The following is a 22,368-nucleotide window of genomic DNA, read 5'->3' on the forward strand; positions in this document are numbered from 1 at the left end:
GGCTGGAGTACAGTGGTGCCATCTCCACTCACTGCAACCTCTGCGTCCCAGGTTCAGGAGATCCTCCCACCTCAGCCTCCAGAGTAGCTGGGACTATAGGTGCGCACCACCATGCCTGGCTAATTTTTGTATATTTTGTAGAGATGGGGTTTCACCATGTTGCTCCAGCTGGTCTCGAACTCCTGGATTCAAGCAATCTGCCCACCTCAGCCTCCCACAATGCAGGGATTACAGGTGTGAATCATTGTGCCCTGCCTCTAGCACTTTTTTCCAAAGGGGGACAGAAGCCCGTGATCTACTGAGAGGAGAAAGTTTCAAACAAAGCAACCCTAGATAATCCTTCTACAAGTACATTAGCAAAGGAGCAATGTTCCCTGTAGGTTCTAGGGAGTGGATATGGGCAGCATTCGCTGGCAGTCTGGAGTAAGGTTCTGGAGTGTGGCCTATACTTATTTTTCCTGTGCTCTTTTCTTCTTTCCTCTTCTCACAATTGCTCAGTTACTCAGTAGACTAGTGTTGGAGGTAGCTATCTTTTCGCTTACACCAACTTTTTTTTCTTTCTTCTCCTCGATATGTTTGTCCTTCTTGCTCGGGTGCTACCTTTTAAAGCCCAAAGTTGGGAATCCAGGGAGCTGCGATGATTAACTGCAGGAGCCCAGTGGAAGAATTCCACAGCCTTAGACGGCAAAGTTTCCATAGCCTCACTGCCGTGGGACTTCCCCCGCATGAAGGCGAGCTCTCTTTCTTGGTCTGGCCATTGGAGGAGGGAGGGAAGACAGCAGCCTGGCGTGTCCTCAGCTTCTCTGAGGACTTGGCTGCTTACAGAGAGAGGGCCCAGTGACAGGAACCCTAAAGGGAGGAAAGTGACCCCCTCCCCACCACACTGAAAAAGATCCCTCTCTGGTGATGAAGATCTTGCTAATTTGGAACAGCTGGCCAGGGTGTGTTAGACTGGAGGAACTGGGGGAAAGCTTGCTCTGGCAATCTTCTGCAGAAACAAATAGCATGAGATGCCTATGAAAGTTTCACTCTGCTTGGATAGGATGTGTGATGCTACTCCTCCTCTGCGAATCCTTGTGTAGTGGTGGGGAAAGAGAGAAGAAAGCAGCCTGTCACCAGGGGTTGGATTTTAGCATCCATATGTCTATTCCCCACCATGCTCTGTAGGCTCAGAGTGGAACGGAGGTGGAACAGTGGAGCCATCTTGCAGCTTGTAGTTGGGTAGGACTAGCTTATTGTGTTCAGTTCTTGAGTGGTCAGCTTCTTTGGGAACCCTGAAAGGAGCCAGGGTCAGATTGTAGTGCCTTTTTAATCTGTCTAGTCTTCTGCCTCCATCAAGCCACTCCCCTATTTATGCTAGATTGGGAGCTTGGCTGAGCATACTACATCCTGACTTTGGTGTTTTGTTTTGTTTTTTTCATTTTTTAGATGGCTATAGTTACTATAACTGACTTTTGTATTTAATCCATGGGAATATTCTCCTATCCCTCCCCTTCCCCCACCTAGAGTCCTCAGTGTTAACTGTTTATCTCTACCTCCAATGTAGTTAGTTCCCACATAAATATTTGACTTAGACAAGCAAGCTCCAGATGGACTGGGGAGAATGCAGATTGGCTCATGGAATCTGGTCCCACATGCCTTTGACCCATCATCCGTGACCCCAGTGACACAGATGGGTCCTGGGTTGGTGCTGGCTGTGGCAGCCCCACAAGTGCCTGACTTGCTTTTCAGCACATTCCTGCTCCTTCCACTGTGTGAGCCACTGTGGACTAGGACAGGACTGATTGGTTTCAGAAATTATCCAGGCAAGGATCAATCCAATTAGGCTGTCCCTGGAGATGTGGGAAAAGAGAATGAGAGAGATTGAGAGATTGAAATAGACAGATAGATTGGGGAGAAGGAGGTAGGGGAAGGGATACACATAAGTATGGGATAATAAAGTCAGAAGTTTGGGAATGAGGTATAGAGAAAAATGGGGAGGTGGAAATAGTTTGGTGCTAGGTATTCTTCTTATGATCTTGGTAGCTTAGGGCTTTAGAAATAAAATAATCTAGAAAATATCTTATTTTTTCACTTCCTACAAACCTCCGACCACCATCCCACCATTCTTCCAGGTTTTGCCTTGGAGGTTGAAGTGGTGTTTAAAGTGGTATGTATAGGAGTTTAGAATCAACTGGGTTGTGTTCACCTTTGCCTCTCCCTAGAGAGTAGATGGATTCCTTCAGTGATGGCTCATTCCCCTTCTATCTGCACCAAAACCTCTGTGACTGTGTCCTGCAGATCAAGGGAGATGTGCCATCAACCATTCATTCAGTCTGCCAATTTTAAGGTGCAAAGAATGTGGGCAGATGGAGCAAGTGCTGAAGGAGTGGTGCCTGGGTCTTACTGATTGTCTCTGGAGACTGGATCCCTTTCCAGGACTTTTTTTGGTTGTTGTTTGTTCGTTTGTCTGTTTTTTGAGATGGAGTCTGGCTCTTGTTGCCCAGGCTGGAGTGCGATGGCGTGATCTCGGCTTACCACAACCTCTGCCTCTCAGGTTCAAGCGATTCTCCTACCTCAGCCTCCCGTGTACCTGGGATTACAGGCACGTGCCACCACCCCCTGCTAATTTTTGTATATTTAGTAGAGACGGAGTTTCTCCATATTGGTCAGGCTGGTCTCGAACTCCCGACCTCAGGTGATCTGCCCACCTCAGCCTCCCAAAGCGCTGGGATTACAGGCGTGAGCCACCGTTCCTGGCCCCTTTCTGGGACTTTCATACTTTTCCTTCCCTTGGAAACAGAAGCACACTGGATGGAACAGAGAGAGGTGGCTCATTCATTAATTGCACAGGTTAGGCCAGGCTCTGGAGCTGAGGTTGGGATAGAGAGGTGATGACACAACCTTTCTGCTCACTTGGAAGAAAAATACACAATACTCTCCACTTTCTCTCCCCTGAGAGACTTCCATCAACAATGACCAGCTGGGGCTGAGTCACCTCTTTGCCTGCCCTTTGTCTCTTTCAACAATGAGCCCTGTGTCCATCACTGTGGATGCGAGCCCTTTGGAATAGATGTTCTTTCTAGTCCATGAGTTTTGGAAGCTCACTCTACCTTGGGACACTGAAATATGTCTGCATCTCTCTTTGTCTTTTTATGTATTCCCAAGTAATGGCCACTCGGCTTGAGTTCATACTCTTTTTTATTTTATCTTTTTTTTTTTTAATTGAGTCTCACTGTGTCACCCAGGCTTGGAGTGCAGTGGCACGATCTCAGCTCACTGCAACCTCCATCTTCCCGGTTCAAGTGATTCTCCTGACTCAGCCTCCCAAGTAGCTGGGATTACAGGTGTGTGCCACCACAGGTGGCTAATTTTTGTATTTTTGGTAGAGACGGGGTTTCGCCATGTTGGCCAGACTGGTCTCTAACTCCTGACCTCAGGTGACCCACCTGCCTTGGCCTCCCACAGTGTTGGGATTACAGGCGTGAGCCACTGCGCCCGGCCGAGTTCATACTCTTAACCTAGGAAGAGAAGCACAGCTTATCTGGAACCTTAATTCATAGTTAGTACTTTTCCATCAGCCTACACCCAACAGTCCAGGACTATACCTTTTTCATCTGTGGACTCTTTCCTCACCTCTCCCTTCTCCCTTCCCACCCTATAGGAACTAGGATGCTGATGATAGTTGGTTTGACAGGTTTAGAAGTGATGCCTGCTCTGCTCTTCTGACCTCAAGGTTCTGCCAAGACTGATTTTTATCCCAAGTTCTGATTTCTCCAACAAGAGCTTATGAGCTAACCAGGGCTGTCAGTTAGGACTTTAACCTCTCCTGGGGCACCAGAAGGGTGCTTCCCTGATGGGAGCATCAGTGTCTTCCCCCTTCTCCTGCCCTCTCTCCTCCCCGTGGGGAGTGTTCTCATCTATATCCTTTCTGAGCCATGGTGGCATCTGGGAGACATTCAGTTATCATATGAGATGGGAGGAAATGGAACAGTCTATGCAATTTGCTGTTTTTAACACTGCCCTAACTTTATTTTTATCTGGTTAATGTGTCTGTTGGCAGTAAGAGGTTTTTAATCTCCTAATAAGTGTATACCAATCCAAAAGAAGCTGGAATAAGGTGGGGAGAAGGGGTTGATAAATTCCTGCAGCATCTTTATATTCCAACTAGCTGTTTCTGAAAGGTGACTCTTTCTCTTACTCACATGTTGTTTAGTGATTGACGACCTATAGCATATTTATTAGTCAGTTCACGCTTTCAGCTCAGTTGTGTGTATGTGAGTGTGTGCATGCCTGTGATTAATTACCACATTGACTTGTGACTCCCACTTTCTTGACCTTCATTTTTTTTCTTTATTTTGTTTAGATAAAAAAAATAAGTCTCACTATGTTGCCAAGGCTGATCTCAAACTCCTGAGTTCAAGCAATCCTCCCTCCTCAGCCTCCCAAAGAGCACGATTATAGGCGTGAGCCACCGCACCTGCCTCTCCTGCCCATCTTGAACCACCTATGGCCCTTATTTCTCTTCTTCTTTGCTATTTTATTTTTGGTTGAGGGAGTCAAGGCAGAGGGCCATAGTACTTCCATCGAATAGATGCAGACTGACCTCTGATCACTCCCTAACCCCTCGGCCAAAAACCTTTCCCACGTCTCTGGTGCCCGAGACATATGTGTCTAGGGAGGAATCAGCTGCACTGTTACTCATCCATCAGCATCTGAACCTTGCATGCTGACTCTGTGATGCTGACTAAGGGTCCTCACCACCTTGACTAAAATCTTGGGTCTTGCTATGCAGAAGTAGCCCTTCACCCCAAAGCTAAGGAGAAAGGATTGGATGAAAGTTCTCTGTAGAAGTGGAGGAAACACGTGTCTCCTCAGAGGTACCTCTAGAGGTTGTTCTCTGCAACCCTCCAGCTAGAGTGAGCAGGCTCCTTGCCTGGGTGGCACTGCTACCCACAGAGGGGATGGGGGCTTCGAAGCTCTCCTCCCACGACACCTGGTGAATCCTCCATGTCTTCCTCCCTTGATAGTGGCAGCTGGTGGGGGCTGGGGGGAGGGAGGAGTGCTGCTGTTAGAGCAAGAAGACAAAGTGGCTTTGTCTCTTATCCGTAATATAAGTGCAGGGAGGTGAGAAGACCCTGGGGTTTGGCGTTTCTCCTTGAGGAGCTGAGCCAGAGGCAGGGCTTTGGTTCCTAAGTGATTAGAGGCCTGCATGGCCAGAGGCCGCACCTTCCCTTTTGGAAAGGAGCTCACCCACACTCCTTGCTTCCATCTTCCCCTTCCTGGCTCAAGTCATAGGCTCTATTTTCTGGCTATCCTGTTTTTGTTCCTGAGTAAGTTGCGGTGGCTCTTTTTTTTTTTTTTTTTTTTTTTTTTTTTTTTAAAGCTGATTTAGGGGGTTGGGAAAAGAAAACTTTAAAAGTAAAATAATAAAAAACAGACCACTCTGTCATTACAGGCACATAAATAGCTTTACCGTCGCTGGGCTGCACACTCGCTTTGCCATAGCAACCTAAAGCGACTGTTTATAACAGCTTGTCAACTGGCCTGGAAACCAGCAGCTGCTGCTGGCCGCCCTGGCCTCGGAGCAGTGGGCAGGCGCTCCCTGAGAGGTGTTATGGAGGCGGTGAGCCTGGTGCTTCTTCTGGAACCGTGGGGGATGGCAGGGGAACGGCAGCCTGGGTTCCAGAGGCAACCAGGGGCAGTAATGTTTTGGGAGCCAAAGTGAGCAGCGAATGTCTTTTGTTTTTGTTTTCCCCTCATCTGTGTATGGGCCCCAGCATCGCTCATCTCCTGTGGAGATAGAAGACAGGGCTGGGAGGGGATTTGCTCCACTGGAACCTGAAAGGGGCCTGGGTGTCCCTCTGAACCTCACGAGGTGGCTTGTTTTAACTTTTCGAATAGACCTTGGCTTCTGTTGTAGCCTGTTGAGTGACATCCTCTCAAGTCTGTTTTCTCAAAGACTAAAAAAATGTGGGCTTTTTCAGGGCTCTGTCTGGGAAAGGGGGCTGCCCAGAGATAAATGGAAGCAGAGATCAGCAACCTGGAAGGACTAGCAGAGGGAGAGGGAAGAGTGAAGGAGACACATGGCAAGATCTTCCTGTGCCTTCCCATGTCAGCCTGGAGCTGAAGGGGTTCATGGGAATGCTTTGGAACCTCGCAACATTTTCAAAGTGTGGTCCCCAGACCAGATGCATCAGCTCACCCTGTTAAGGAACTTGTTAGGAGTGCACCTTCCCAGGCCCCACCTCCGTTCTTGTGCACCAGAAACTCAGGAGTTGGCAGGGAGGGGCCCAATAGGTTTGCCCCAGTTCTCCAGAGGATCCTAGTGCTCACTCTGGGTTTGAGAACCACAGCTCTAAAACATTACTCAAGTGCAAGGAAGCATGATCAGTTCGCTTTCCAAAGGCCTAGGCTGACTGAATGGATCCTGTCTGTGCAATATGTGAACAAGGAAGAATAAAACAGGCGCAGAGGGGTGGCAGGTTATTAGCGATCATTCCTGGCCACCTTTTTTAATAAGCACTGTCTTTTCAGCATGGAGCCCTCGCTGATTTGCCTGTGACTTCCAGGAAATAAGCCCAGAGAAGGCTGGAATAGGTAAAGCGGGGATGGGAGGTTCTCTGTACTCTGTACAGGTGAGACTGTCAGAGTGGAGAAAGGGAATGGGAGCAGCCAGGCCTGATGACCAGTATGGGACATGCTGACTAGTATCTGGGCCACACAGGAATGTTGTTTTAAGTCCTCTCCTGCTGAGCGTCTGGGGACAGAGCAGCTGCCCCTGGTGCTCCCTTTTGGTGGATGAGATGTGGCCTCCTCAGTCTGTGGCCAGGCAACTTCTTCCCCCTTGTCCTGAGGACTCCACCAGATCCTGAGGCCTGGGAACAACCAGGTCCCGACCCGGTAGCCCAGGGAGATGACCCCTCTCCATAAGCATGACATGATTCTGCTGAAATTCGTTTCTAAAAATAACCTAGGATCCGATCCAGCTGCTAAAAAGCCCCTTTGTTCCCTTGAAACCAAAATATGGAAAGCCACAGCAGCCCCAAGAAAGACAGTCTGTGTAGTCCAAGAGAGTGCATATACGAAATACTTGAATGCTGCTGCCGGAGGGCTGCGTCCTGTCTGTGGCCTAGAAGCTTCCTGCCGCAGCTCTGAGGAGTGAGTAGCAGTTATCGTTGCTAACCCTTATCCTGAGTGAACGGGGTCAGGAGAGGCTGCCAGTACCCCTTTTGTTAAACAGACCTTCCAGATGGCATTGTCACTTCCACCTGAAGGTGGCTCTTGTCCTCCTTAAACAACTGAAGGAAATGGTGAGCGCTGCTGTTTCATCCTCTACATTTTTTTGAGCTCTAGCTTGCTGTGAACACCCCTACCTCCACCCCATACATCCTCTGAGTCACTGGAGGACACAGAGGTGACCCAGGCCAGTGTGACTCACACAATTTGAAAGAGGTTGGCTTTCCCAAGGCTCTGGGCCTAAGGGACTGCCCTTTCTCATCTTGATAATTTTTTTTGAGATGGAGTTTTACTCTGTTACCCAGGCTGGAATGCAGTGGCACGATCTCAGCTCACTGCAACCTCTGCCTCCAAGGTTCAAGTGATTCTCCTGTCTCAGCCTTCTGTGCAGCTGGGATCACAGGCGTGCAACACCACACCTGGCTTTTTTTTTTTTTTTTTTTTTTTTTTTTTTTTTTTCTGAGATGGGGTCTCACTGTGTCTCCCAGGCTGGAGTGCAATGGCACAGTCTTGGCTCACTGCAACCTCCATCTCCCGGGTTCAAGCAACTCTTCTGCCTCAGCCTCCTGAGTAGCTGGGACTACAGGCACGTGCCACCACACCTGGCTAATTTTTTGTATTTTTAGTAGAGACGGGGTTTCACCATGTTAGCCAGGATGGAATTTTTATATTTTTAGTAGAGACGGGGTTTCGCCATGTTGGCCAGGCTGGTCTCAAACTCCTGACCTCAGGTGATCTGCCCACCTTGGCCTCCCAAAGTGCTGGGATTACAGGCATGAGCCACTGCGCCTGGCCTCATCTTAATAATACTGATGCCATTTCAAGATGGAGCCAGTGGCCAGGGGTCAGGGGGACAGCCGTGCCCTCCCAGGCACATTCCTGCTTCCTCCCACCACACTGTTTCCCTACCCATGCCCTGGAGCTTTCTGTCTTCATCTTGGTGGTTCTTAAAACCTGTGACATGGGTTGGATCTTAGCAGACCAGGTGATCAGGATCAGGCTGTCAACCTTGGGTCAATTCTTGGTATCGCTGTTTGGAGAAAGCTTTTGTCATCTATGGGTCCTACCTTCTCCCTGCCTTCTGAAGGCATCTGACCAGAACTGGTAAGTTTTGCCACCATTATCACTGCACAGCATATCCTAGACAACACAGCCACTCCAAGACTGAGAGGTATTTTATTTTTATTTTTTGGATCTCAGATCACCACAGATAATGTTCCAGTGAACATCCTTGCACATGCCCCCTCCAGGCCCTGGATGAGGATTTCTTTGGAAGATGTAGCCAGGACTAGATGACTGGGTCCACAGCATGCATAGATGTAGTTTGACCAAAAAGCACCAAGTGATTCTGGGGAGGAGGGATGAATTCTGGATTCCTGAGACCCAGGGGCTACGAGTGACACGTTTTCTCCGATTAGATGCTTTGACTCTAGTACTACCTTTTTTGGTGGAATTGAAGAAGGTGCTGTCAGAGTAGCAGACTTGGAGAGGGGGAAGTAAGTGAGGGAGGCCCGTGGATACCACCTCCTAACCAGGAAGTGGCGTTCTATCTTCAGAAAGAGAGAACTGAGCCTGCGAGTGACATCCTCTCAAGTCTGTTTTCTCAAAAACTAAAAGGATGTGGGCTTTCCTTGGGTCTCTGGGAAAGGGGGCTGTCCTGAGATGACTGGAAGCAGAGACTAGCAACCTGGAAGGACTATAGGGGGGAGAGGGAAGAGCAAAGGAGACATGAACCAGAACCCAGAACTTCAGGAAGGGAGTACCCCACCCCCAGGAGGCTAAGTTCTAGGGGCTAGCTGAAAATTAGCATCAGATTCCCTGACCAGGCCATGGTATACTATCCCATGGTGAGGCCAGAGGCCTGGCTTGGTGTGCCCGCCCTCACCTGGCTTCCTGGCTTGGGTGTGGCTGTCGGATGATGATGACAAGTGGTCCCACCCGCCACCTGAACTTTAGCCAACACCTGCTGCCTCTGACCTTGTTCCCATGCCTCCAAAGGGCCTCAGTAGGCTGAAGGAGGGCATGTGCTCTAGTCTGCTTCTGCAAACCAGTTGGCATTTAAGGAGCAATTAGGGCAGGGCAGACATGGGGAGGGGAGGAAGAACCCGGGATTGTGATGAGGATGGCTGCCAGACCTGAGGGATTGGAAGTGGCCAGGGTGAACTAGAATCTGGGTCATGGAAATAAGGAGCCTGTGATAAGGAGGCGGGCAGAACAGCCTCTGCCTGAGATTCACACCTCCGGAGAGAAGGGCTAGCCAGGGATGTTTTAGGCTAGGCAGCCTACCATGGTCAGGTTCTTGCCAGCTTTCTTGATAGGGCACTGTCCTTTGGAAGCGTAAGAGTGCCAGAGAGAAGGAGTAGAGCTTAAACCCCCCAAGGTGGTGCACAGGAAACAGCCCTGCTGGAAACAAGAGAGAGAATGCAGAGCAGGTTCTCCCTCTGTGCTTCTCCCAGATCACCAGGGGGAGCAAGGCCAAGAGCATGAGACGACTGAGTGGAGGAAGCCCTCATCCCCACCACTGGGCTCTCCAGGCAGGAATTGGATATGCTTGGACTCACAGCAATCTAGAGCCCAGTGCTTTCTGGCTTGGGGTGGGGGTGGGGTGAGGGGAGGGGAGGACAAGGGGGAAGGGAGGGTGTCTGCTCCCAAAAAGCTTTGAGTCTATCCCTATGCCTTCCCAGAAAGTTTACAAGAGGTAGATATTTCCCTGACCTATTTCAGTGCCTTTAGGAGTCAGGAACAAGGGACAGATGGGTTTATGTGAGCCTTCTCATCAAGGTTTAGGAAGTAAGCTCATAGTTTGTTTACATTTTTTTTATATCATTGTTCTTGCACTTGAGGCAAGTTGGCTTTGAATTCAGATTAGGGCACAAATCTGGCTCTCTGAATCTATATTTCCCTGCTATAAGAAGGAGAGGTCCTTCTTATAGGGTTGTTGGTGAGAATTCAATGAAACAGTGTATGTAAGAATGATAATAGCTACAGTGTGTGGACCAGCCACTATGCCAGGCACTACATAATACATAGGGGTATGTACATAATTTCTAATTTTCATATGAAGTACCTAGTATGACTCCTAGCACATGGTAGGTGCTCAACAAATATTTTTTTCCCAACCTTCCCACCTCTCCCAATCCCACATCCCTGTTCCTGAGTATAGGGAGAAGTAGAGCCTCGCTTGGAATGAGGGAGACTGACTCTAGGTCAGAAAAAAGACTACGGGTTTTCTGAGGGACTCCTAAAGCAGGTTTTGTTTGTTTGTTTCTGAAGCAGAGTCTCGCTGTCACCCAGGCGGGAGTGCAGTGGCACGATCTTGGCTCACTGTAGCCTCTGCCTCCCAGGTTCAAGTGATTCTCCTGTCTCAGCCTCCCAAGTAGTTGGGATTACAGGCATTCACCACCATGCCCAGCTAATTTTTTCTGTTTTTAGTAGAGACAGGGTTTCACCTTGTTGGCCAGGCTAGTCTCAAACTCCTGACCTCAGGTGATCCGCCCACCTCGGCCTCCCAAAGTGCTGGGATTACAAGCATGAGCCACCGCACCCGGCCCTGAAGCAGGTTTTATATTGTAGCTGGGTGCATTCTAAAGTGGGACCAGGCTGCTTCCCCTCTCCAGAGGTCTTCCCTTCCTCACTCATCAAGTCCTGCCTGGCAGTGATGCTGGCACCCCTGCCAGAGTATCTCCAAGTGCTACCGGCTTGCTCCTGAGCAGAGGCTCTCAGCCCATCGGGGAAGGACAGAGTAGGGCAGGGCAGGGAAGTGTCTGCTCCACTGAGCAGCCCCTGCCTGTAGCCCAGAAGCCAGAGTTGACCAGAGCCTCTTATTATTCCAGGCAGGTCTGTCTGCAGTGCTGCAGCAGCCTGAAGCCCTAGCCCCGGGCCCCTCCTGTTTCCTTTCTCCCATTTTTATGCATCACATCACATTCAATAGGAGCATTTAGTAGCGGGGAGACTCAGGGGGTGAGTTCCTTTCATATTTTCAAATATACCCTACTCTATAACCTATACAAGGTATCACTCTTTTTCCTCATAGTTTGGGGATGTATTTCTTCTTTAGCAGCCTGGGAAAGCTAAAAGTAAAAGATTCCTTGGACAAAATTGGAGGAAAGTGTGTCTGACTAGTGTTTACACTTTGGTGACTTAGGTTCTTGTCTCTGGCAGCTCCTCATTTCTAGAGGCTTTTTTTTTTTTTTTTTTTTGAAGTCAGGGTCCCACTTGGTTTGCCCAGGCTGAAACTAAGTGATATGAACACAGCTCACTGCACACTGCAGCTTCCACCTCCCAGGCTCAAATGACCCTCCCACCTCAGCCTCCCAACTTGCTAGGACCACAGGTGTGCGCCATCATGCCCAGCTAATTTTTGTATTTTTTGTAGAGACAGGGTTTCACCGTGTTACCTAGGCTGGTATCGAACTCCTGAGTTCAAGCGATTCTCCCGCCTCAGCCTTCCAAAGTGCTGGGATTACAGGCAGGAGCCACGGCACCTGGCAGATGCCTGCCTTTTAAAGGGCCTCTTAGAAGCTTGCCAGAAAATGAGGAGGTTTAGGCTCAAGAGAAGGAGCAAAGTGTAACAAAAAGAGCACCAGGCAGTCAAGACCACTGACTTGCTAAGACCAAACCACTTTTTTATCTCCCTGTACCTTTGTATCTTCATCTGTAAGGTGGGGGTCACAGCTGTCCTAACTAGAATTGATATGACCAATGCTTTCACACGTCATCTACAAATTATAGAACAGATGTTATAGGAATTTAGGAGGAAAAAAGTAAAATGTCTTAATGATCATGTAAAGCATTATGATTTCTTGCCCTAGGAGGAAGAGATGAGAGAGTTAGCTCTTCTATCCTATCATCTCTTAGGCTTGCAAAATATTAGAAAAGAGGAGGGAGCACATACCTTACCGAGAATGCCCCAAGCCGAATGACTAACCCTTACCTGAAAAGAGGTAGTACCTTTCAGGTGTCTGAGCAGTTCATTTGATGCTGAGGTGGTGTGAGCACCTTCAGATTATTCTTTGGCAGTTGCCTAATCAGATTAGGGGCCAGGCAAGCTCAGCAGTTGCAGAGAACTCATACTCCGGAGAGTTCAAAACTCAGACAGAAGTGGGGACGTCATGATATGTTTCCTAGTATTATAGCGATCCCACCTTAAACCTCAGGCCCCAACTCTGCACTGCCCTTTTGACTTTGTGCCAGCAGCTTAGCGCTTGACCTACTCTGTGTTTCTCTAGATAAGCCTGAGGCAAACAAATCTTTTCATTCTTTTCCACATGTGTTCTTCAGCCCCATGTGTTCTAATCTTATGCGACCTTTTCCATCAGTTGCCTATGGAAGTGGAAGAATCTCTCCGCTTTGGTACTGTGAAAAGAGGTTCAAAGTAAGGAAGGAATTCTGCCAGGCGCAGTAGTTCACGCCTCTAATCCTAGCACTTTGGGAGGCCGAGGGGGGTGGATCACAAGGTCAAGAGATCGAGACCATCCTGGCCAACATGGTGAAATCCCATCTCTACTAAAATACAAAAATTAGCTGGGCATGGTGGCATGCGACTGTAGTCTCAGCTACTTGGGAGACTGAGGCAGGAGAATCACTTGAACCCAGGAGGCAGAGGTTGCAATGAGCTGAGATTGCGCCACTGCACTCCAGCCTGGCAACAGAGCGAGGCTCCATCTCAAAAACAAACAAACAAAAAAAACACAAAATATTAGCTGGGCATGGTGGCAGGTGCCTATGATCCCAGTTACTCAGGAAGCTGAGGCGGGAGAATCACTTGAACCTGGGAGGCGGAGGTTGCAGTGAGCCAAGATCGCACGACTGCATTCCGGCCTGGGTGACAGAGTGAGACTCTTTCTCAAAAAAAAAAAAAAAAAAAAGGAAGGAATTCTGACTCAGACTGTCTTTTCTAATTCTCAAGAGACCCAAGACCCTATATGCTGGTGGTTATTGCTAATGGTTATAACCTAGCTAATGGTTATTGTTAATGAAGCTGCCTTAGAATTTTCCATTCTTTTGGTGGGGTGGGGGTTCCCTGGCAAGGAAAGATGGAAGGGCACATGGAGCTTATTGTTCTTCTTCTACTTAAAGGGCTTAATAACAAAAGTTCATTAAGATCAAATTAGGCGGCTGGGCGCGGTGGCTCATGCCTGAATCCCAGCACTTTGGGAGGCCGAGGCGTGCGGATCACGAGGTCAGGAGACCAAGACCATCCTGGCTAACACGGTGAAACCCCGTCTCCACTAAAAATACAAAAAATTAGCCGGGTGTGGTGGTGGGCGCCTGTGGTCCCAGCCACTCGGGAGGCTGAGGCAGGAGAATGGCGTGAACCCGGGAGGTGGAGCTTGCCGTGAGCTGAGATCGCGCCACTGCACTCCAGCCTGGGCGACAGAGTGAGACTCCGTCTCAAAAAAAAAAGAAAAAAAAGATCAAATTAGGCTTTCTCCCATCACTTAAGTGTCCTATTCCAGACACTGGATACCTTTCATCTAAGATTTCCAAGCACTATTTCTATAATTCCATTCCTTTATCACTTTCTTAGGGTGGTGCGAAAAGACAGGGCCCATTCTCTACCCAACTAAAGGTGGAAGGAACTGAGTCCTGAGAAGGCTAAGTAACATCCCTGTCTTCATGAAGCAAACATTGTAGTGGGTGAAGACAGAAAAGGTAAAATCCTCTGATTCCTAGTTCAACACTCTATCAGCATTGTTCCCAACATCCTCTTGAAAGGTTAAGGAGTTCTACTTAAGGGTCAAGTTGGGTTTCTTGCTACTTTAGCCCTTCCCACTTCTTCCAGGCTTGGAGGAGAAGCTGAACTGGGGTGAAAACTCTGTGGTCCTGCCTGTGCCTATACCAGTCTGAATGAAGGGAGTTTGACACATTGCCTCAGGTTCTTTGTGGATCTTCTTGTTTCCCAGATAAGAAGGGAGTACGATATTTTAAAAACAAATAGAGCCCTGCTTTCTTAACTCTTTGTAAGTCAGAGTAGTGCTAAAAATCTATGTGGCGAGGAGGACGCAAAGGGCAAATTGGGAGAGGGAGGAGTATAAATCAACCTGCATCCCTGTGGAAGCTTCTGGGAAGAGGATTGTCAGGAATCGGCAAAGACTTTGGCTACATGTGACTTTGGAGGAGATCATTGATAAAAGAATCAAGTCCCTTATCTGATGGTTCTTGTGCTTCTTTGTTCACCTTCTAGAAGTAAGTGTGGCATCTATTTATTACAGAGAGGTTGGCCAGAGCTCCTTGCCACCCCCTGGTAACTGAAGTCGTCAGTGGGGACTACGTAACCGGGGCTGGGGTCCCATGTTCTGGTGCTGTGCTAAGAGTCCCTTCACATTTAAAAGGCTGATGTGTGGCAGTGACACCTGTCAGTGGCATGACACACAGCGGCCCCACTCTGAAACTGAGAAGGGGCCTCAGGATAAGTTCTCTTCCCACCTTCAGCCCTCCGTTTTGTCACCTACACCACACCCCCTAGTTAGCATGCGTGAGAGGTAATGCATCTTTCTGAGGGGAGAAATGCTGGCCTCTCTCTGGTGCCTTTATTGAGCTGATGTGAGACTCTGGTGCTCACTCACAGGCTAGCTTGTCTCCCTTGCTAACCTTGCTGTGGCCCTATCCTCTATCTGAATTGAGAGGTATCTTACCGCTCCCACTCCAGAGAAACTTTAATGCTCAGGCTTCAAACTCCCTATCTTTCCTCCTCAGAGGTCCTTCTGTCCCCTTTACTAGAAAAAAAAAAAAGTTCACCCTGCGTCACCAACTGCCAAAGCATTTTACTCTCCTCTTCTCCCCAAAAGCCTCTTGGAGGAGGGTGGAGCTTAGCCTCAGAACAAAACTTGGTGCCGGCCAGGTTGACACCTGCACGGGCTGCAGAATTTCCGTACACCTGGAGGCTGAGTACTCTAACGGGCTTTGGAGGATTTTGACATCTTCTATCAAGTTGTCATTTCCATACACCTGGAGGCTGAGTACTCTAAGGGGCTTTGGAAGATTTTGACATCTTCTATCAAGTTGTCTTCCTTGTGTGTAAATGTGTGTGTTGGGAGTGGGAAGAGTGTGGGTTGTGGGAGAGGAAGGCAGACTGACAGGCCACCCTTCAGATCACTTAGATCTGAACTCCTTTTTCTGACCTCTTCTCATCTTTTATAGATAAGGTCAGACTAAAGGATCCTGTCACAGGTCCCTCAAATAGACAGGGAAAACATTAGAGCCATCAGAGGTCGTAACCATTTATTTCCAAGTTTCTGAAGCTGTGGGTTTTATGTTGCTTGGTTGGGAGAGGTGAGACGTGAAGACTCGGGTATTGAAATTACTCCTCTACATTGGAGTTTACAGGCTGCAGGGGCCTCCCAGGAAGGAACGGGCCTCTCTTGAGTCAGCTCTCTAAGCTCAGGCCTAGCTATCAGTTCAGCTCAGATCTCAACTGTCACTTAAACCCTTGTGCTTAGACTGGGTACCTCTTGCCCTTGCAGATGCTGGATACTTATGGCTGCTCTAATGGTTTCTTTTTGTCTATCTTTGAACCTTTATTCCAGAGATCCAGTTGTCATCGGTATCCAGGAAGCTCTCCTCTTCCTCCTCCTGACGTCTACTACTACAGTTGCTGGTTGTTGCTAAGGTTGCTGCCATGGTAACATGCACATCCTGTTTACACCTTCATCTGGGCAAGTTGGTCTAAGCTAGGAACCTACCTACCCTGGACAACTACTATCATCACCACCTGGGGACACCAATCATCGTGACACGGAGTCCACCTTCCACTCAGTTCCCCCATCCTCTTCCTCCTCTCGCTGCCAGACTTCATACGGAAGAAAGGATCTAGACTTCGGACGGCTACTCGGGAGCTTATTGCACAAGATATATTCAATCTATTCCCTCACTGGGCCCCCAGAGAAGCAAGAAGTAGGAAGAAGTTGAGACAGGGAGGCAGGAGACACTGGTCAGTTGAAGGGAAACGCTACATCTTCTCTGGTTGAGGGGCTTGGTAACAGCAGGCAAAATGACGAACCCATCAGACCGTGTCTTGCCTGCCAACTCGATGGCCGAGAGCCGTGAAGGGGACTTTGGCTGCACAGTAATGGAACTGAGGAAGCTCATGGAGCTGCGTTCAAGGGATGCACTGACCCAGATTAATGTCCACTATGGAGGTGTACAGAATCTCTGCAGTAGACTGAAAACCTCCCCTGTGGAAGGTAAAGGCCATATCAGGGGTGGGGAGTTGGAGGAAGGTGGCTAGTGTTTCAAAATATTGTTTTCCCAGCTTCTAGAGAAGGCACATTTCTGGAGGCCCAGCTGGTATATTTTTGTCTGGTGGGAAAGGTATGGCATCTGAAGCACTGAAAGGAGGGCAGGCCATGAAGAACTGTATCTTTCCCAGAGATGATGTTTAGAAAGTGTGCTATTCTCTAAAGATTATTCTTTTCTCCTTTTTCTTTTCTTTCTTTCTTCTTCTTTTGTTTCTTTTTTTTTTTTTTTTTTTTTTGGTGAGACAGGGTCCTGCTCTTTTACCCAGGCTGGAGTGCAGTGGCGTGATCATGGCTCACTGCAGCCTCAACCTCCTGGGCTGAAGCCATCTTCCTACCTCAGTCTGCTGGGTAGCTAGGACCACAGGTGTGTGCCATCACACCCAGCTAGCTTTTTAGATTTTTTTGTAGAGTTGAGGTCTCAGTATCTTGCCTAGACTCATCTCAAACTCCTGGACTTAAGTGATTCTTCCACCTTGGCCTCCCAAAGTGTTGGGATTACAGGCACAGTGAGCCACTGCTCCTGACCCCTCTTTTCTCCTTTTTCTGTATCAGTGTCCAGAAAGGAGGATATTTATTTTTAAAATGTTTATGTTATAAATGTTGTTGTCAGTAAATAATCAAGTCTGTTCTTCTATATGTCTGATTATAAAATAATTTAATTCTTCCCTACACTGATCTTACAGTTTAATGAATGGAGGAAGGAAGGGTACAAAAAAGTGAATAAGTCCAGCTGCCCAATTGAGCACTTCTCTATTGTATACTGTTAGAAATGGGATGATAGGCCAAGCAGGTGGGTGGCTCACATCTCTAATCCCAGCATTTTGGCAGGCTGAGGTGAGAGGATCACTTGAGCCCAGGAGTTCCAGACCAGCCTGGGTGACATAATAACACCCCATCTCTATTTTTTTTTTTTTTTTTTTGGAGACAGAGTCTTGCTGTGTCACCCAGGCTGGAGTGCAGTGGAATGATCTTAGCTAACTGCAACCTCCGCCTCCCAGGTTCAAGCAATTCTCATGCCTCAGCCTCCTAGGCAGTTGGGACTACAGGTGTGTGCACCACCACGCCCAGCTAATTTTTTGTATTTTAGTAGAGATGGGATTTCACCCTGTGGGTCAGGCTGGTCTCGAACTCCTGACCTCAGGTGATCTGCCTGCCTTGGCCTCCCAAAGTGTTGGGATGAGGAGGCTTACAGGCATAAGCCACCACGCCCAGCCTCTATTTTAAATAAAAAGAAAAAAAAAAGGAAATGGGATGCTAAATCACAAGGTATATAACTGTACCCATCATATCTTTGGATCACTCACTGTTTTGTGTCAGGGAATTATAAGTGATTTTTTTTCAACTCTGCTGGATACACTTTTAATGTAGTTCTCCTTAATCTTTTTTGTTTGTTTTGTTTTTTGTTTTTTTGGTTTTTTTGTTTTGAGAAGGAGTCTCACTCTTGTTGCCCAGGCAGGCTGGAGTGCAATGGTGCAATCTTGGCTCACTGCAACCTCCACCTCCTGGATTCAAGCAATTATCCTGCTTCAGCCTCCTGAGTAGCTGGGGTTACAGGCATGTGGCTAATTTTGTATTTTTAGTAGAGATGGAGTTTCACCATTTTGACCACACTGGTCTCAAACTCCTGACCTCAGGTGATCCGCTCACCTCAACCTCCCAAAGTGCTGGGATTACAGGTATGAGCCACTGCGCCCGGCCTTAATCTCTTCTTAAAAGCTAAAAAAACTTAAAAGATAATGAAAAATTCAGCTTCAGGCTTTGGCCCAGCCCAGTTGCCCAGTGTGCCATGGTATTATGAAATTTTGCCTCATCAAAATGTAGAAAGAACAAAAGGAAACTTGCTTTTTCACTTTAGTCTGGTTTTAGCATCTCTGTAGCAGATTCTTACTTGGCCCTATACATCTGGCAGTTCATGGTTGAGTAGCATGAGATGGAGCAAAGATCTTGTCCATTAGGGGCTTTCAGTCTCATGTGGTCTCCTATTTCTGAATCTTCCTCAGAGGCCACAGCATATTTCTCACCAATTCTAAGAAGTTGTTACCCTTTGCCAGTGCTGTATTATAAGTTAGTGACTTGGAGCCTAGACTCTTTAGGATGAAAAAAGAGAAAGAGAGTTTTACATAGATATCTATACCTAGTTTATGTCTTATTTTCTTTACAACCTAAGGGAGCTTCCCTACCTGTTTTCTTTACTTCTAGAATTTGGTTTCCTATCTCATAGGCTTTGAGTTCAAATGATAGCTCCACCATTTACTAACTAAGTAGCCCTCTACAGTTTACTCAGCCTCCCTGAGTCTGTTTCTTCTTTGAAAATAATGTTAATAACACCTAGCCCATAGAGTTACTGAGATTAAATAATACATATACAGTGCTCATACTTATAATTAGGTGTTCAATAGATTAGTTTTCTCAGATTAAAACAGAGTCCATGCATCTGTAGATACTTGCCAGAACATGGGTGCCTATGGAGTGCAATGTTTTGTCCTATCTGGAGAGGTTACTGTGTGTGTAACTGCAACTACTGTCCATTTCATTTGCTCACTTCTTAATCACAAAAAAAAAAAAAACCCTGGGTAAGGTGGCAATATCTAATTGCTTTCATGTGGCTCAGTCTTTGCCTTCTAATGGTAGTCCTTAATCATACCCCTTTGGGCTCTGTCTACTTCTTGCCAGCTAGATTTCTTTATTCAGTCACTTTTACAGCCGTACTGACTGCTGAGGGTCTGTTCTTAATTATATCTTCACTGAGATTATGCAGTACTTTACAAACACCCATCAGAATTTAAACAGGATCTTTCTTTTTCCCTTCCTATGCTGTTCTTGATCCCTCTGGTCAGCTGTCTGTCTCACAAACAGGAACTCGGGAGTCCAAAGAAGCTGGAACCTAGAGAACTCCTGACAGCAGGATTCAGGCTTTCCTCCAATTTTCCAGATCCCTTCCCAGAGCTGCCACTGTTTACTTTCTGATTCCCAGAGAGCTTCCTTTCCCAAAGGCCAACATATATTCTACTTTCTGTCAACATTGGATATCAAATGTTATAGACATAGCTAATGCTCTTGGATCCTTTCCCAGTCCTGGTTTCAGCCCCTTCCAATGGCAAGTGCTTCCCTCGTTACAGCCCCTGGCCATGCCTGTAGCCTAGGACTCCTAACACTGGCACAATTTTCTACTGCCATGTACTGCTTCCTTAGATCACAAATATGTGTCCTGGTGTTTTTCTTTCTTTTCTTTCTTTTTTTTTTTTTTTTTTTTTTTTTTAGAAGGAGTTTTGCTTTTGTTGCCCAAGCTGGAGTGTAATGGCGCGATATTGGCTCACTACAACCTCCGCCTCCTGGGTTCAAGCAATTCTCCTGCTTCAGACTCCCAAGTAGCTAGGATTACAGGTGCACGCCACCACTCCCAGCTAGTTTTTTGTATTTTTAGTAGAGACGGGGTTTCATCATGTTGGCCAGGCTGGTCTCGAACTCCTGACCTCAGGTGATCCATCCACCTCGGCCTACCAAAGTGCTGGGATTACAGGCGTGAGCCATGGCATCTGGCCTTTTTTTTTTTTTTTTTTTTCTTTATGAGAGATGGGGTCTTGCTCTGTTGCCCAGACTGGTCTCAAACTCCTGGACTCAAGCAGTTCTTCTGCCTCACCAGTTTGTAGTAATGTAAGAGTTACCATAGGGCTTGTTCTGGAACTGGGGAGACGGTGTTGGAAAACAACCTTTCCATTAGTAATTTTTAGTCCCCAGTACCAACAGTGACGTCCTAGTGTGTAAGAAGAATAAAGAGATAAGAAAAGGAGAAAAAAATAAGAAAGAAAAAGAAAGAAAAGAAAGAAAAGAAAGGAAGAAAGAAAGAAAAAAAAGAAAAGAAAAGAAGATATAGAACAGCTAAGACATAGGAGTATCTACCCAGGCAAGGGTAATGCTCACCTGTTTAGTTAGGGTAGGCAGACAAAAGATCCCCAATATGCTCATCCTATAAAAAGCCAGCCTGTTCATGGAAGGCCACACAGCCTGACAGCCTAGGAGAATTTTGTCATTGTGGGAGGTCCCAGTGGACCAATAATAAGAATAAAGAAATGTACCTGGTGCTTGAATTCTGCTAGCTGGAAACCAAGGTGAAAGTGAAGATCAGAGATATTGTTTCCTAAAATATAACCCTTTTCCTTTATTTTCTATGGACTGATAGCATCTTTAGTATAGATTGACAGAATTTTTTTTTAAACCATAGCTTTTAAGGGGGCTTATGGAACTTGAAGTTTATTACATTTCTGATACTAACATGGTTTTATTATCATAGATTTACACAATTCTAAAGGCAGGTGGGACTTAATTATCTCTTTTGGCTGGCCGCAGTAGCTCATGCATGTAGTCCCAGCACTATCTGTGCTTTAGCTAAGATACTCTGTGAGACTGCTCTAGCATAAGAAGCATTTAGAGCATTAATGGAGTATAAGTCAGAAGGCATGAAATATTCCATCCCATTCTACCTGGTGGTAAGAACTTAGGTCATTTAAACCCTTTAGCCTGGAGAGAGGGAGAGAGAAAGAGATTATTATTATTATTATTATTATTATTATTATTATTATTATTATTTTGGGATGGATTCTCACTCTGTCACCCAGGCTGGAGTGCAGTGGCATGATCTCGGCTCACTGCAACCTCCGCCTCCCAGGCTCAACTGATCCTCCTGCCTCAGCCTTCCAAGTAGCTGGGACCACAGATGCGCGCCACCATGCCGGGTTAATTTTTGTATTTTTTGGTGGAGATGGGGTTTTGCCACCTCTACCTCAGCCTCCCGAAGTGCTGGGATTACAGGCATGAGCCGCCACTGACCCAATGTTTTTTTGTTGTTGTTTTCAATTTTATTTTTGAAACAGGGTCTTGCTCTGTCACCGAGGCTGGAGTGCAGTGGTGAAATCATGGCTCACTGCAACCTCCACTTACCAGGCTCAAGCAGTCCTCCCACCTTAGCCTCCTGGTTAACTGGGACTACAGGTGTGCACCACCACGCCCAGCTAATTTTTGTATTTTTTTTTGTAGAGACAGGGTCTCTCCATGTTGCCCAGGGTGGTCCTGAACTCCTGGCCTCAAGCGATCTGCCCACCTTGGCCCCCCAAAGTGCTAGGATTACAGGCATGAGCCCTCATGCGCAGCCTCAGCCCAATGTTTTGATACTGGCTTGTGTTCCTTGAGTATACATTAGCTAGTTAGAGTAAGAGGAGTTGCCCCAGTGGCCAAGAGTTGGTTAGACTTAAGAAGGCTTGGAGATGTTTAGCTACATGGCCTTCAGCAACAACCAGAAATAAGGCTGAGAGCATGAGCCAAAAAGAGAAGAAAATTTAGGGCAACAAGAAAGGGTGGGGGAGACATAAAAGAGAATACATGTTTACATCAAAGTAACTAAAGATTTCAGTCTTTATGTCTGTATATAAACAAAAGCAAAGATGCAGGGGTGAGACTGGAGCTCCTGGGCAAGCTGTGTTGCCTTGGGTTTATCAGGAGGGACAATCTGAGCATTTTGCACAATGGAATCCTTCTTGTTTGCTTGCTTCGTTCCCCATTCCAGTTTTTTCCCCCTCCTTTTATTGTCTCTTCTTTCCCTGTCCCATTCCCACCTCAACCAATCTTTCCAATCCCCAAAGAACAGAGCAGTTTGGTTGGTATAGGCTAGAAGATAGCCTTTTACCTTCTGTGTGGTTTCCTGTGGAGTCTCATGGCCTCGTGAGTGGAAGAAGCTTTTTGTGAATCTGGGATGAAAATTACCTGTGGCTTAAGGGGAAGAAGGAAGAGGTATTTTCCTTAGTCTCAATACCCTTTTGTGTGAAGGAAAAAGGGATGGTCCTGGCGGCCTAGGTAGAGGTTATACGTGTTCTTTTTTCCCTGTAGAATTTTGCACATTGGTCCTTAGCTACGCTAT

The 22,368-nt window shown here is 47.1% G+C and overlaps 1 protein-coding gene across 4 annotated transcripts in view; it reads left to right on the top strand.

Moving 5' to 3' along the window:
* ATP2B4 (ATPase plasma membrane Ca2+ transporting 4) overlaps nucleotides 1–22,368 on the top strand; it is a 117,250-nt gene that overhangs the window by 40,164 nt on the left and 54,718 nt on the right. For all 4 annotated transcript variants that reach the window (NM_001001396.3, NM_001684.5, NM_001365783.2 and 1 more), the window contains exon 2: nucleotides 15,747–16,403. In NM_001001396.3, the coding sequence (NP_001001396.1) occupies nucleotides 16,211–16,403 (193 nt within the window). In that variant the 5' untranslated portion in view covers nucleotides 15,747–16,210. The remainder of the gene's footprint in view (nucleotides 1–15,746; nucleotides 16,404–22,368) is intronic.

The sequence above is a fragment of the Homo sapiens genome, chromosome 1 (genome assembly GCF_000001405.40).
Source record: "Homo sapiens chromosome 1, GRCh38.p14 Primary Assembly".
Classification (NCBI taxonomy): domain Eukaryota; kingdom Metazoa; phylum Chordata; class Mammalia; order Primates; family Hominidae; genus Homo; species Homo sapiens.